The sequence below is a fragment of the Homo sapiens genome, chromosome 5 (genome assembly GCF_000001405.40).
Source record: "Homo sapiens chromosome 5, GRCh38.p14 Primary Assembly".
Lineage (NCBI taxonomy): Eukaryota > Metazoa > Chordata > Mammalia > Primates > Hominidae > Homo > Homo sapiens.
The window spans coordinates 108,561,746-108,578,377 of NC_000005.10; the positions used below are offsets into that span (position 1 = coordinate 108,561,746).

General features: G+C 44.2%; 1 annotated feature.

Moving 5' to 3' along the window:
- Positions 2,580-3,271: an enhancer, noted in NCBI's record as "NANOG hESC enhancer chr5:107900026-107900717 (GRCh37/hg19 assembly coordinates)". NCBI's record gives its function as "activates a minimal SCP1, AML or CMV promoter by ChIP-STARR-seq in naive and primed H9 embryonic stem cells {active_cell/tissue: H9 hESC(naive and primed)}" and the evidence as "EXISTENCE:reporter gene assay evidence [ECO:0000049][PMID:30033119]".

Consider the following 16,632-nt stretch of genomic DNA (forward strand, 5'->3'; position numbering starts at 1 on the left):
CCATCAGCATGAAGGACTGCTTCTGTTCATAGGAGGCTCAATCAATGTTTGTGCCCTGAATAAAGGTGTAAACCAAAAATAAAACTCTAAGCCCCTAGACTGACTGAATGGACCCCCTCTTGGCCACAGGGATTCCAAAGAAACCTGAAAACTAGTTCAGGTCATTACAGGAGAGGGCAGGCGGGGATCAGACATGCCACATTATACTTTCTTTCCATTGGAGTTCAGGAACACAATTGACCAGCATTAACATTAAAATAGAGATCCTAAGACTGACAGAACAGATTCTCCCTAGCAGTAAGTTACCAAATTCCAACTTGACTCTAGTATAGTATCACATGACAGATAGCAGGACCCTGAAGGAAATCAAAGTATTTTACTCCACAATATATTTCTTTGACATATTTTAAAATGGCCCTGCAAAGCCTTTTGTAGGAGAGAATTTGCATCTGTAAAGCGTCTCTATTAACAAAACTAGATCTTTCCCCTTGCAGCCCCCACCCCACCACCATCACCAATCCTGAAGAGATTAACTGAGACTCTAGCACCTTTTAAAGTTCTGAATAGGAAACATTCACCATCTATTATCTCTAGGGGCAGCCACCTGTAAGACTTCATAAGAACCTTGGTCTCTACAATCCCTTATCTTACCCCAGACACTTCTTTCTATTAATTCCAGGTCTTTAAGTAATTATGTAACTCTTTCAACCAATTGCCAATCAGAAAATCTTTAGATTTACCTATGACCTATCACCATCCCACAGCCTCTGACCCCACTGCCCCTCAAGTTGTTCCACCTTTCTGGACTAAACCAATGTATGCCTCCGACCCCACTGCCCCTCAAGTTGTTCCACCTTTCCGGACCAAACCAATGTATTTATTGATGTCTTATGCCCCCTAAAATGTATAAAATCAAACTGTATCCCAAACACATTGGACACATGTTCTCAGGACGTCTTGTGACTGTGCCTCTTGCCATGGTCATTCATATTTGTCTCAGAATAAATCTCTTCAAATATTTTACAGAGTTTGGCTCTTTTCATTGACAAATCAATTAGCTAAATCAGCTCATAACTTTACTTAGATATCACAAATAGTCACACACTTATTTCTAACTTTTAATAACTTCTACACCGTAATCCTAATTTTATCCGTGACCATCAATTTTAAGTTTATATACTGCTCAGGTGTGCAAAAATGTTAACTTTTTACATCTCACAATTAAATTCAACTAATTCAAGTTCCCACCCCATCCCCACTCATCATTTCTGCAGATGTTGGGAAAAATACCTTGATTTTGCAAATTAAAGGTAATTTAATCACATTCAGTTTGAAATTTAGCCTCTCATTTATTAGGTTCAGGTCAGGATTCATCATTACACAATTCAAAAATTATAGCTTTTCCTACCACCCACCCCTGCATCAGTATTACAGTTGTGGGCAGGGGAGCTTACATCCCATTATAGTGTTGGGGTAGTGTGTCTGGTCTACAGACCTGCTGCAGGTCTTCCCTGGCCTCTGCTGTTGTCTTCCTCACTGGGCTGTTTAGATATTGGCCTCTGTTGCTCCATGCTGCTGATATATCTGGTCACACCTGGTTTGGCGGCTTGAACAGAAATATAATGCTGATGTTTGTGGTCACTGCCAGAGCCTCTAGTGACAAGGTCCATGTCTTCTGCATCCTCTTCACCCCTGACTGGGGCATCTTTTAGTCCACTGCCCTTACCTTCCTTCTGAGTACCCTACTGGGGAAGTGAACTTCTGGACAACACCTCATAGTGTGCTCAGGCCCCTCTCTGCCTAAACATACCCCTCCACCTTTCTACCCAACTTCATCACATGGTGACAATGCCAGTACACTGAGAGGAAGCCTCCTCCTACAGTTCCAGATAGGAAGTGGGGTGGTCAGCCTACTCCTAAACTATATGGGATTTTTATAGCCTCGTACTGCTTTCTCAGTTGAGGCCCAGGTGATGGACATCACTGGTTGCCTTTCTAATAGCTCTTTCTCTTCTCTTTGCTGAAAGAAACCCATTTTTCTTCATGGTACCAATGTGATTAGTACCAATATTTACCTTTTTGAACTTCCTTTTGCTGGAGATGGGTAATAAGATATAAATGGATATTACTTGATAGTCTTTTCAGAAGGACTTTAAAAAAAGAAAAAGCTGGCATGTACCTTTTGCCTTTGCTCTTTTCCCTTTTTAGTGATTGTAATACAAACGTGATGGAAGGAGGTAGAGCAGCCACTTTGCAACCAGCAAGCTACATACTAAGAGGGCAGAAGGAAGCTAGGAAGAATCTGCACTGATGATTACTTCTCTGAATACAGACCTTCAGACTTCTTTAGGGGAGAAAAAAACAAATGCCTATTTACTTATACCACTATGATCTGGCCACTTGTACATGCAGCTAAAAGCATTAAAAAATGATCAGTTTGGGCACCATATTTATCCTAGTCTTCTGGCCTCTAAGTATATGTGGCCTCTTAAATCCCATCTCTACCTCCCAGAGTAGCAAGTTTTTTTTTATTGTCATCATACATTTTGGGAAACTACTGTTGTATCATTGTGGGGATATGAAACTTTCCTCAATTCATCAGTGCTCTTGTAAAATGCACTAGCCTCCTGAAACTTGGAAATGTAACTGACAGAAAGAGGAAAAAAAATTTGGCTCTCACTTCCCATGGAAACATTTTCACCCACCATGAAGATTAGATCTGCAGCCAATGTTTCCCTCAATGATGGAGCTAATAGCTCTGATATAAAAGGATAATAAAACTTCTCTTATCTCCCCTAAAGTCAGTTGTCCTGAGATAGTTGTCTAGGTTAGCTCCTAGGAATTTACATATTAAAAGAGTGGATCAGGACCTCTCCAGGTGGGAACACACTCCTGGAGACATTTCATTTGTAATCCAAATGGTTAAGTTGAGAAACCAGGATCCTTTGCATCCCCACCAGAAAGCAGCAAAAGGTTTTTTTTTTTTTCCTTCCTCTCTTATTTTGGGAGAGAAGTGGGAGGCAGTTGGTTTTTTACTGTATGTAAATGGAGAAAATCCATTGTTTCCTGTCCCCTGGCACCCACATAAAAAGATTTCATGGCTCTTATCTCCTGTAGGGCTAGGTGTGGGGAACTGGTGCTGCAATGTTATTCTGGCTGTTGATCTGCTTATATTGGTAATGAACTCCTCCCTGACCCACATGCCTCATGGCTCTGCATTGTTCACATATAAAAAGTACATAGCTTTTCAAGCGGAGTTGTATCTCCCAGTTCTCGACAAAGCAATTATAGCTGTATCCTTCCTATTTTGGGGGCCATTTTATAACCTCTATTCTTTGATTCCTTGATGTTTAGGCTCATTTTAAACAACTTGACACTTTCACACTCTTTGGCGAAATGGACTTTATAAGTGAACTTGGAAGTCCAGATGGAACCATTTAATCTTTTGTCTGCTATGTTCTTTCCTCACTTTCAAGAGGGCTTTGGAGAAGTAATCTTCCAGAAATAAAATATGCACGGTATAATATTTGAAAATATTAGCCTGCTGTACCTTTTCGTTTTAACAAGCATGATACTGTCATACTACATGATGTTGTGAATTTAACCCATTTTCAGACTTCTTCAGGACCATGGTAGCAGTACTTCTGTCCATCCACCACACTTCATTTCATCTTGCACTGGGCCATTTCCCTCTGTCTCTTTTCACAATCTCTTTCCTGCATGAACATGGTTCTTTGCATCCTGGGGTAGTCTCGTGTGTGTCCATCAACCGGCTTATCTTTTTTTCCTTCAAATCTGGAGGATTAATTAAGGATGGCCACAAATTCTTTGATCCTTTTCCTCTTGAAAGGTGAGGTCCATTTTTCTTCCTCTGAATCTGTGACTGTTTTGGCCAGTAGAATATAGCACAAATGATGCTGCACTAGCTTCTAGGCCAAAAGACCAGCTGCTTCCGCTTCACATCTCAAGGAATGATCACTCTTGCAACCCTGAGACACTAGGTAACCAGACCAATTACCCTGCAGAGAAGATCACATGGAGATGACAAGGAGCCCAGACAAACCTTGTCTCTAACTCTCCTTGTTAAGATATTGGACATGCACATGAGGCTGTCTTGGACCTTCCAGACCAGACTATCCACCAGGTGAATATCCCTGCAGAGTGACTAGTGGGCACCACATGGAGCAGAATTGCTAAGGTGTCTGAATTCCTGATCCTTAATATTATGAGATATAATTAAATTAGCTATTGTTTTAAGCCACTAATTTTGGGGAGAGTTTATTACATAGTAGTTGGTAACCAGACCATCCAAGCTTATTGCTGTCCTTCCTAGTCACCTCTCTTGTCACTAGCATCCATTTTTTCCCCTTCTTCTCTCCAAGACAGCCTCATAGCATCTCCAATACCAATTTTACCCAAATGACATTTATTATGATAATGGTGGTTCAAGGAACCATATAGAAATTTAATTGTCAGACAATTTGCTTAATAGCCTAAATGTGAACTGTAATCTTTATGTTTGGATATCTTCAAGATCTGGGTCTGTCCTCTACTTAGTGAGACAATGTATTCCCTCAGAAATAAATTTTTGTAAAGCCCTAATCAACATTATCATTACTTATTCTGATAGAAGTATCAGTATTAGTAAACCCTAAACAGCCTCAGGGCTTAAACTTCTTTTCCATTTAGAAATGTCAGGACTTATAAAACACAACTTTGATTAAAGCAAAGAAATAAGTTTGATATTCAATGATGTAATTAGTGTCCAAAAGCTTAGGGGGAAAAACAGCATTTTTAAAACAAAGCAGAATGAAGATTTGATTTCTATGCTTCTCTGAGAGATTTAGAGAGGTGAGAAAGGAAGAGATGAAGAGGTTGCAATATGTTTGCATAGTCATGCCATTTTGATTTTTCCTCCAATATTTTAGAACCATTTTCAATCAAAGTGTTTCCCCCACTACTGGACTTCACCCATGTGAAATAGTAGACAAATCTGAGGTATCAGGACCCCCTACCATTGGATATCAACTGTAGCAGACCCAAGACCCCCTTACTTTCCTGAAATGAAATTCACAGGTGACATCTATACAAATAATATGAGCTAAATATATAGTGCCCTAATTTTAATGTAAAAAGGAAATAAACTAAAAGTAATTTATAATCAAATATTTCAGTAAGTAAGAAGTTGGGCTCAATAATACTACAAGAGTAATGAACAACTGGGTGCCTGCACATACACATAGAATCATTATGATGGTGATAGCTAGAAATGATTCAGCTGTTGTGTACTGGCAACTGAAATACCTCAAGCATTGTTGCCGTAGGTGAAACGATTTTCTGGAACAAGGAATAGCTGAAATGACTAAAACAAAAAGTCAAATCATCCCTTAATTTACACAGTTGTTGCATTCTGATTCTTAAGATTCCATTGTATGTTAAATTCATTGTACATTAAAACCAACCCAAAATACTTTGTTTTCAAGAATGTCCATGGGGATATGCAAAGTCATGTGGCTCCGGGACAATTCTCTGTCGTGTAAGATTGTTCAACACATGCACAATATCTAGCATCCCTCATCCCTCCATCACTGTGATGACAAAAACTCCCCACAAATTATGAAAAAGCTCCCTAGAATAGGGTTGCCAGATTAAGTCCAGGATGCTTAAATTTGAATTTCAGAGACACAAATAATTTTTTCACTATAAATAGATCCCACACAATATTTGGGATCTAGCTTTACTTAAAAAAAAAAATATTGCCTCTGACATTCCTTTTTAGCTAGATGTCTTGTATTTTTACTTGCTAAATCTAGCAACCATATCCTGGAGGAAAGTACCAGTCTCTTGAGAACCGCTGCTCAGCAGGCTACCCTCAAGTCCTCAAGCCAAACTTGCAACATCTGGGATCATGACTTTCACTCGTGTCCGTGTGAAGAGATCACCAAACAGTCTTTGTGTGAGCAACAAGGCTGTTTATTTCAGCTGGGCGCAGGCGGGCTGAGTCCGAAAAGAGAGTCAGCGAAGGGAGATAGGCGTGGGGCCGTTTTATAAGATTTGGGTAGGTAAAGGAAAATTACAGTCAAAGGGGGGATGGTTGTTCTCTGGCTGGCAGGGGTGGGGGTCACAAGGTGCTCAGTAGGGGAGCTTTTGAGCCAGGATGAGCCAAAAGAAGGAATTTCACAAGACAGTGTCATCAGTTAAGGCAGGAACAGGCCATTTTCACTTCTTTCGTGGTAGAATTCATCAGTTAAGGCAGGAACCGGCCATCTGGATGTGTATGTGCAGGTCACAGGGGATATGATGGCTTAGCTTGGGCTCAGAGGCCTGACATTCCTGTCTTCTGATATTAATAAGAAAAATAAAATGAAATAGTGGTAAAGTGTTGGGGTGGTGAAAATTTTGGGGGTGGTATGGAAAGATAATGGGCGATGTTTCTCAGGGCTGCTTCGAGTGGGATTAGGGGTGGAGTGGGAACCTAGAGTGGGAGAGATTAAGCTGAAGGAAGATTTTGTGGTAAGGGGTGATATTGTGGGGTTGTTAGAAGAGACATTTTCATGTAGAATTATTGGTGATGGCCTGGATATGATTTTGTATGAATTGAAAGACTAAATGGAATAAGAGAAGGAGAAAAACAGGTATTAAAGGACTAAGAATTGGGAGGACCCAGGGCATCTAATTAGAGAGTGCCTAAGGGGGTTCAGCATAATTACTTGCTTGGTTGGCAAGTTTTTGCGCTCTATCCTTGAGTTTTTTTATGTTGTCATACACCAGGCCAGATTGATTTAGGTAAAAACAACACTCTTCATTTGAGAATATACAGAGTCCTCCTTTTTCAGCAGTGAGTAAGTCAAGGCCTCGGCGGTTTTGGAGGCCAACTGCAGCTAAAGAGTCAACTTGGGCCTGGAGGACTGATAAAGTTTGTGATATGTCTGTGATGCTAGCAGAGAAGTCATTAGAAAGGCTACAGAAGGTCGTAACAGAGGTTGAAATGCCTGCTATTCCAGTACCAAGAGCAATAGTGGAGGCAGCAAGTCTTAAACTGACAAGCAAGGGAATTAGTGGAATAACTCTTTTTTGTCGTGTCGGTGTCATGAGGGGAACAGGGAGTTCTTCAGTCCTATTTGCAAATTGAATTTTGGGAGTAAGGAAAAATAGTGTGCATGTGCCTGTCCAATTAGCAGGTAGACACATGTAGGTAGAGGATCCACAGAGGAAGAAAAGACTGTGTGCGAGACAAAACTGGAGATGCAAAGTAAAAAGATGAGAAGGAGTACTGAAAGGGGTGTCTTGTTCTTAGACTCCTAGGGATCCAGCTAGGGCGGCAGCCGTCAGAGGTTGTAATGGGGACTAATGAGGTAACTGTGTAGAGGGGGAGGTTCGATTTTCATGGTATATGAGAAAACGTCGAGTACCTATCAGTAACCTTTCACTGTTATTTTCAGGGTTGGGTATAAGTAAACAAGAAGAGGGCCTGGGAGGAGAGTCTGACAAGCAAGGGGAAGGTAGCCAAGGATGGAGTGAAATACAGGGTAAGTGTCTTCCTAAGCAATAATTACTGCTAATGTTTTTAAGTTTGCCAGTATTGATAGAGGGCTTGTCTGTAATATGGAGCTGGAAGGCTCCAGTTGTTTCAGTGATGTGTGTAGTTGGGCTTTGGAGCTGAAGAGTAAAGGAATATCAAGAAGGTGAAAGGTTACCTAAAGGAATTCCAGTGGGTCTTTGTGGAGAGATATATAAAGAAGCAGCCACAGGAATAGTAGTTTGTGTTGTGAGAGGTCTAAATATGGGGGGAGTAGAGTTGATATAAGGAGAAAGGTTTTTTAAGTAAGTGTGGAGGAGGGTGGCAGCTTGCTGATGTGAAATGTCTGGGGAGGTCTTGCTGGACCTGTCTAGAAAGTAAATGAGTTCTTCAGGAGGGTAAAGGTGAGGGCTGTTAAAGGAAGTTCAGAGGTGTAGGGAGACAGGAGATGTTGCCTAGTCTGCATGTAAGGCGGGGACAGCTGTGTAGGCGCTGGAAGAAAGGGAAATGCAAAGCCAGTGGTTGTTCGCTAAGGAGGGATTAGAAACAGCTAGGAGAGAATGAGTAAGGTTGATAGTGTGGTGGAGATAGCTGGGGAGAGGTAGAGGGTGGCATAAGAATGGGTATGAGAATAAGAGTGAGTATAAAAGTAAAGAACAGAACTTCAGGGTGAAAGTATTGGAGGGTCCTCTGGCCAGCAAAGATCATCTATCCACTCTAAGAGAGAGTTAAGAGTTGCCAGTCCTGGGTGGGGCAAATCCCCGAGCTTGATGTGTAGGGAAGGGAGGGGGCCTGAATAATCCCTGAGGAGTAGTAGAATAGCAGATGGAACACAGAGAAGTTATTTCCTTGAGGACAGATGGAAAGGAAATGAGAGGTTCTAAGAGGTGGGCTGGTGGCTTGTACTATAGCATAGCCTGCCTTTGCTGGTGTGTGGCAATTAGGCCTGGTGGAACTATCATCAATAAACCAAATGTGATCAGGGTGAGGAACAGGGAAGAAGGAAATATGGGGAAATGGGGTGAATGTCAGGTGGATCAGACAGATACAGTCATGAGGGTCAGGTGTGGTATCAGGAATAATGTGGGAGGCCGGATTGAAGTCCAGGCCAGGAACAATGGTAATTGTGGGAGACTCAACAAAGAGTGAGTATAGCTGAAGGAGCTGGGAAGCAGAAAGTATATGCGTCAGGTATGAGGCAGAAAATAGATTTTGGAAGTTATAAGAACTGTAGAGAGTGAGTTCAGCATAGTTTGTGATTTTGAGGGCCTCTAAAAGTATTAAGGCAGTGGCAGCCGCTGCATGCAGACATGAGGGCTAGGCTAAAACAGTAAGGTTAAGTTGTTTGGGCTACAGGGCCTGGTCCCAGCTCTTGTGTAAGAATTCTGACCACACTAACCATGCCTAGGAAGGAAAGGAGTTGTTGTTTTGTAGGAGGGATTGAGGTTTGGGAGATTAGTTGGACACGATCAGCAGGGAAAGCACGTGTGTTTTTATGAGAATTATGCCGAGATAGGTAACAGATGAGGATGAAATTTGGGCTTGACTGAACTAATGGCTATCTGTGAAGCCCTGTGGCAGCACAGCCTAGGTAATTTGCTAAGCCTGTTGGGTGTCAGGGTCAGTCTAAGTGAAAGTGAAGAGAGGCTGGGATGAAAGGTGCAAAGGGATAGTAAAGAAAGCATGTTTGAGATCCAGAACAGAATAATGGGTTGTGGAGGGAAGTATTGAGGATAAGAGAGTATATGTGTTTGGCACCATGGGGTGGATAGGCAAAACAATTTGGTTGATAAGGCGCAGATCCTGAACTAACCTGCAAGGCTTGTCTGGTTCTAGAACAGGTAAAATGGGGGAATTGTAAGGAGAATTTATAGGCTTTAAAAGGCCATGCTGTAGCAGGCGAGTGATAACAGGCTTTAATCCTTTTAAAGCGTGCTGTGGGATGGGATATTGGCGTTGCGTGGGGTAAGGGTGATTAGATTTTAATAAGATGGTAATGGGCATGTGATCGGTTGCCAGGGAGGGAGTAGAGATGTCCTATACTTGTGGGTTAAGGTTGGGGGATACGAGAGGAAGATGCAAAGGAGGCTTTGGGTTGGGAAGAAGGGCAGCAATGAGATGTGGTCCAAGAATAGACAGGGAAGCAGATAATTTAATTAAAATGTCTTGGCCTGATAAGGGAGCTGGGCAGGTGGGGATAACTAAAAAGGAATGCTTAAAAGAGTATTGTGTAAGTTGGCACCAGAGTTGGGGAGTTTTAAGAGGTTTAGAAGCCTGGCCATCAATACCCACAACAGTTATGGAGGCAAGGGAAACAGGCCCTTGAAAAGAAGGTAATGTGGAGTGGGTAGCCTCCTTATTGATTAAGAAGGGGATGGACTTACCCTTCACTGTGAGAGTTACCCAGAGCACCTGTGATGGTCCTGTAGGCTTCCGAGGCAATCGGGCAGTGTCAGTCTTCAGCTGCTAAGCCAAGAAAATCTGGGAAGGAGTCAGAGAGCCTTGGGCCAGAGTTCCAGGGGTGCTGGAACTGGCTGCCAGGTGAGTTGAACAGTCCGATTTTCAGTGGGGTCTCGCACAGATGGGACACGGCTCAGGAGGAATCCTGGGCTGTGGGCATTTCTTGGCCCAGCGGCCAGATTTCCGGCACTTGTAGCAAGCTCTTGGGGGAGGAGGTTCTGAAGGAACCTCTGGCAGCTGCGGTTCAGGCGTTTGGAGTTCTTGTGTGCTGGGAGATGTAGCTGGGGTTTCTCTCACAGTGGAGGCAAGGAATTGCAACTCAGAAATATGTTGCTACTTGGCTGCCTCTACTCTATTATTGTACACCTTGAAGGCAAGGTTAATTAAGTCCTGTTGTGGGGTTTGAGGGCCAGAATTTAAATTTTGAAGTTTGAGTGGATTGGGTGGTAAAATGCATATTAAGAATAAGGCGGCCTTCTGGCCCCTCTGTGTCTAGGGTGGTAAAGCGTCTAAGGGTTGCTGCTAAGCTGGCCATGAACTGGGCTGGGTTTTCGTCTTCACCTTGGGTAGTTTCTTTAAGCTTGTCATAATTAACAGCCTTGTAAGCTGCCTTTTTAAGCCCTTCAACTAGGCAGGAAATCATTTAATCTCGCCTGGCTATACCTGGGGAATCTGCCTGATAGTTTCATTGGGGATCCTCTCGGGGAACAGCTCTAATGTGTTCCTGGAGGTCTGGCTTGTGAAGCCAGCGGTTATCAGCATAAGATTGGGCTAGAGAAAAAACTCTTTCCCATTCATCTGGGGAGAGGCTAGAAGTCAGGATGACATTTAAGTCACTCCAGGTTAAGTTGCAGGACAGAGTTAGATATTAGAATTCCTGTGTATATTTAGTGGGGTCTGATGAGAAAGAGCCTAAACGCTGACTGATCTGAGAGAGGTCTGATAGAGAAAAAGGTACATGTACCCTGACTCTGCATTCAGCTCCAGCCACTTCTCTAAGAGGAAATTGTTGGGCAGGTGGGGAAGAGCTAGTCATGGAACTAAACTGTAAGCCCGACCGGATGTGAGGAGGGGAGGTGATAGAAGGATTATAGGGTGGAGGAGCGGAGGCTGAAGAGGAATTGGGACTTAGCTCAGCCTGGCAATGAGCAGCCTGGGGAGAAGGGGAGAGGTCAGATGGGTCTGTAAAAAAAGAAGACTGGAAAGACTCAGTGACGCTTGGGGTTGGGACTGAGGGGACAGGCAGGAGGGAAAGGAGGAGGATTTGGGAGGAATCACATTAGGAACAGAGACTAGGGAGGGAATGAAGTGTGAAAAATGCCTGGATGTAAGGCACCTCAGACCATTTGCCCATTTTTCGACAAAAATTATTTAGGTCTTGTAGGATGGAGAAATCGAAAGTGCCATTTTCTGGCCATTTAGAGCCATTGTCAAGTTTGTATTGGGGCCAAGCAGTGTTGCAGAAGAAAATAAGGCATTTAGGTTTTAGGTCAGGTGTGAGTTGAAGAGGTTTTAAGTTTTTGAGAACACACACTAAGGGAGAAGAGGGAGGAAGGAAGGGTGGAAGGTTGCCCATAGTGAAGGAGGCAAGCCCAGGAAAAAGAGAGAGTAGAGACATGCAGAGAAGGGGTTGGGGGTTTCTTGCCCTCCAGAAAAGTGGAGAAGGGGTAGAGACATGGAGAGAAGGGGTGGGGTGGGGGGTTCTTGCCCTCCAGAAAAGTGGAGAAGGGGTAGGGACGCAGAGAGCAGGGGTCAGGGGGTTCTTGCCCTCCAGAAAAGCAGAGAAGGGGTAGAGACACGGAGAGAAGGGGTGGGGTGGGGGGTTCTTGCCCTCCAGAAAAGCAGACGAGGGGTAGAGACACGGAGAGAAGGGGTCAGGGGGTTCTTGCCCTCCAGAAAAGCGGGCAAGGGGTAGACACACAGAGAGAAGGGGTCAGGGGGTTTTTGCTCTCCAGAAAAGTGGACAAGGGGTAGAGACACGGAGAGAAGGGGTTGGGGGGTTCTTGCCTTCCAGAAAAGCAGAGAAGGGGTACAGACATGGAGAGAAGGGGTCAGGGGGTTCTTGCCCCCAGAAAAGCGGTACTTGCCACTAAGGGTGAAGGACCAAGACAGGCGTCCCTGCATGGTCAGACACCTCTGAAACATGAGTGAATAATCAGGCAGGCATCCCTGCATGATTAAACACCAAGGGAAGACTGTCTTCCTGAGTCTGTGACCAGTGCCAGAGTTTTGGGTCTGTGGATAAAACACATCTCCTTTGTCTCTACCAGAAAAGGAAAGGAACTGAAATTAAGAGAAGGGAGAGATTGAAGTGTGGCACCAAGATTGAAAGGAGAAAGAGGTTGAGGGATAGTGAGAGAGGTTGGAGAAGAGAGTAAAAATGTTACTGGGGGTCCTTGCTCCTAGAGCTCCTAAGATGGTGGTGGGCAACTTCTAAAATGGCAGTGGGCCACTTCCAAGATGGTGGCAAGCCTCGTGTTCTTTCACCTGGGGTTCTTGGCCTCACGGATTCCAAGGAATGGAATCTTGGGCCATGTGGTGAGTGTTGTGGCTCTATTAGAAGTTGTGGGTCACGGAAGAGAACCGTGGAACCCAGTGACTAGTGTTCAGCTCGATTAGGATGAACCCAGGCACTCAGTCGTGCAGGAACAATGACAAGCCTTTAGCCTGATCGGGAGTGGCAATGGGTGCCTCCCTGGATCAGGAGCACAGTGGACACCCTGCTGGATCTGGAGGGATGGAAGTCAGTGGCAGGTCTGTGACAACAGCGAAACAGCAGTGGTGGATGGCAAGCAAAAGCTCAGCTCAAGTCTTAACAAACACAGACCAGAAGAGTGCAGTTGCAAGATTTAATAGAGTGAAATAGAGTGAAAACAGAGCTCCATACAAGGAGGGGACCCAAAGGGGATTGCCGTTGCCAGCTCGAATGCCTGGATTTATATCCTGATCCTTGTCCCTCCTGCTGTGCTCTCAGGCAATAGATGATTGGCTATTTCTTTACCTCCTATTTTTGCCTAATTAGCATTTTACTGTGCTCTCTGATTGGTCAGGTGTGTGCTCAGTTGCAAGCCCCATGTTTAAAGGTGGATGCGGTCACCTTCCCAGCTAGGCTTAGGGATTCTTAGTCGGCCTAGGAAATCCAGCTAGTCCTGTCTCTCAGTACCCCCTCTCAACAGGAAAACCTAAGTGCTGTTGGGGAGGTTGGCCGACGACCACTCTAACTGCTTCCTGCTGAATTGGGGTGTAGTAGGGGTTGTGCAGTTGAAATTTCCTCTGGAGGGGTGCCTTCAATGTCATTAACATCAGAGCATGGGCTAGCAGGCCAGTCCAGGGGTCCGCGGTAGATCTTAGTTATGGGCTGCATCTGGGGCTCCATTTGAAGAATGATTTGTAGTTTTACAGCTTCGATTCTGGAAGAGACAAACTTAACAAGGAGGTTAAAGATACAGGGTCTAAAAATGAGTAGCAATATTATAGCTGCTAGAGGTCCTAAGAAGGGGAAAATCCAGGGCATCCATTGGCTGAGGAGGCCTCAGTGTCCCACGTTTTGAAGCTCTTTTGCTCTACGTTGTATTTGATTTCGAATTTCTTTAACTTTCTCAGTGACGATTCTGGATTGATTAACATAATAACAGCATTCTTCCTTTAAAAATAAACAGATTCCTCCTCTTTCGGAGGTTAGCAAATCTAAAGCTCTTCAATTTTGAAAGACTACTGTTGCTAGGGAGTTAAGTTGATCTTGCAAGGTGACCAGGGAGTCGGCGACCTGTTCCTTGTCACCATTTAGTTCTTGAGATAGTTTGTAGTAGAACTGAGTAGAGGTTGTGATACTGCCAATGCCAGTACCTAGTCCACCTAACACTCCTGCTCCGATAACAAAAGGAAGAATGGGTACTCTTTTGTTGTGGGGCTTAGGTACAACATAATTTTATAAATCTTGTTCAGTATAAATGGTCATAAGGGGCACTAAGAATGAGAGGAAGCATATAGATTCTGAAGAGCCATTTAAACAATGATAGGCTGAGGTACTACAGACAAAAAATATTCCTGAGGGTAGGCAGACTATTCATGTGGGAGGAGTTACCCACCTGTTGCATTGGGAGTTGGTTGTGTCTATATTGTTGCTAAATTTTACACAGGTGAGGTTTGAGGTATGGGTTATTTTCAGATTGGAAACAAGAGGTCCTACTAAAATGGAAGTGGTGTTTATTTCTGTGCTGAAGTTGTTCCATTGTTCAGGTACAGGGATTGAAACATATGGCCTGAAGTGCAGGGGGAGGCACATCCAACAGTTAGTAGGGTTTTGGGCTGAGACCTCATGGAGCCCAGTGAGGGTGGTATTAAATAGGCTTACTAAGTGAGTGTGGGTACGGAGGGTTTCATGTAGTTTTGAGAGATCTAGTCCTTTGTAGGGGCTAGGGGTGCTATGTACCTGGGTCAGTTGGGAGATTACTTCCTTTACATGTTTTTCTCTTGCCTGATCTTGAACTCCACCTCCATCAGACATACCGGTATGGGTGAAGTAAGTCCAACAGACAGTAGCTCCAAGTCCTCCAGGACAACTAGGATTAATATTTTTCCTGTCTAATAATGAGTATTTGCATGCATGCAAAGAGTGGCAGAGTTATAACAGTTGCAGGGCATATGGGTGTGGGCAGTGAAGGGGGGATTCCGTTAGATAAACTCCTATATGATGGGGCATCAATATTTCCGGGATGCCTCATTCTCTATAGAAACTCTTGGTAAGGGGAGCTATTGGTGGTACAGTGGCATGGAGGGGGTGCAGTGAGAGTGAAAGGGGGTAAGAGAACAGTAAAGAGAAAAATATGATAAGGGAGGGCCAGGGGGATTTACCATTTTAGTTACTTTCCTCTTGGTTGTCGTTTGAAGAGCAGGTGCAGATCCTCTAGAGGTTCACAGGAATAGTTAGCGTTGTCTCCTGGATTTTTGGGTTCCTTTGGCAGTATCTAGGGTTTGACTTGAGTGTGATGTATCCAAGACTCTACTCTAGCCACCTTAACCGTGGTTGGGGTAGATAAAATGACTGCGTAGGGTCCTTCCCAGGATGTATCTAGGGATGGGGAGTTAGAGGGAAGGGACTTGACTAATACCATGTCACCAGGGTGGAATAGTTCCTTTCCCTCTTCTCGGGGACAGGCTCCTTGTAATGTTTTAAGAACTTGTTGATATTTGGTTAAGGAGGTGATGTCTGCAACTAAGTTGGCCATCTCTCGGTCAAGCACATGGTCATTGGTTAGGAAGGGTCATCTATATAGCATTTCGTATGGGCTAAGTCCTGCTTTTTGAGGAGAGTTTCGGATCCTTAGTAAGGCTATAGGCAACAGAGCAGGCCATGCGAGGTGGGTTTCCTGGGCTAGCTTTTTTGGATGTCTTTTGTGTGTTTTGTTCTTTTTCTCGACCTTCCCTGAGGACTGTGGCCTCCACGCACAGTGTAAATGATATTGTATACCTAATGCCTGTGATACTCCCTGGGTTACTGTAGCCTTGAAAGCAGCGCCATTGTCACTTTGTAAGCCTCGGGGAAATCCGAATCTGGGAATTATTTCATGAACTAGTGCCTTTATTGCCTCTTGGGCCTTTTCTGTCCTACAGGGGGAGACCTCTGCCTAACCAGTGAAAGTATCTACCCAGACTTGTAGATACTGAAATCCCTGAGATTTGGGCATGTGGGTAAAATCTAGTTGCCAGTCTTCTCCTGGGTAATGGCCTGTTCTTTGTTCTCCTGAAGGAGCTTGGAGATAAGGCAGGGGATTATTTCTTTGGCACATTTTTTTTTTTTTTTTTTTTTTTTGAGACGGAGTCTCGCTCTGTCACCCAGGCTGGAGTGCAGTGGCACGATCTCGGCTCACTGCAAGCTCCACCTCCCGGGTTCACGCCATTCTCCTGCCTCAGCCTCCCGCGTAGCTGGGACTACAGGCGCCCGCCACCACGCCCGGCTAATTTTTTGTGTTTTTTAGTAGAGACGGGGTTTCACTGTGTTAGCCAGGATGGTCTCAATCTCCTGACCTCGTGATCCACCCGCCTCGGCCTCCCAAAGTGCTGGGATTACAGGCGTGAGTCTTTGGCACATTTTACAGGCCCTGACTATCTGCTTGATAGTTTTGAAAAGGCCTGGTCCAGTAAATAATGATTTGGCCATCTGATGGGTGCTATCAATTCCTAAATGAAAGGTTTGGTGAAGGGTTTTAAGTAATTTCCATTGGTTAGCTGCAGGCAAAATATTTTCCTTTCTTCAGTGGCTTGCCATCCTGAGGGGAGAAAACTATGTTCTCGTGAGGTTCCCCATTCTATTTCTCCTGCTGAGTACTGGGGCTTGGTTTCCTGGAGGGGATTACCCCATACTAGGGGTCCTTCTATAAGCATTTCTAATGGAGGGTCCTGTCTTGCGGCTCTTTTGGCTTCAATATCCACTTGGCAATTCCCTTCTATTTCTCTTTCCTTTCCTTTCTGATGACCCCGGCAGTGTAAGACTGCCACCTCTTTAGATTTCTGTACAGCCAATAATAATTTCCTAATGGCTTCTTGATGTTTGATAGGTGTTCCCTCGGAAGTTAGGAATTCCCTTTCTTTCCATATTGCTGCATGGGCATGGAGGACTAGGTGAGCATACTTAGAGTCTGTATATATATTTA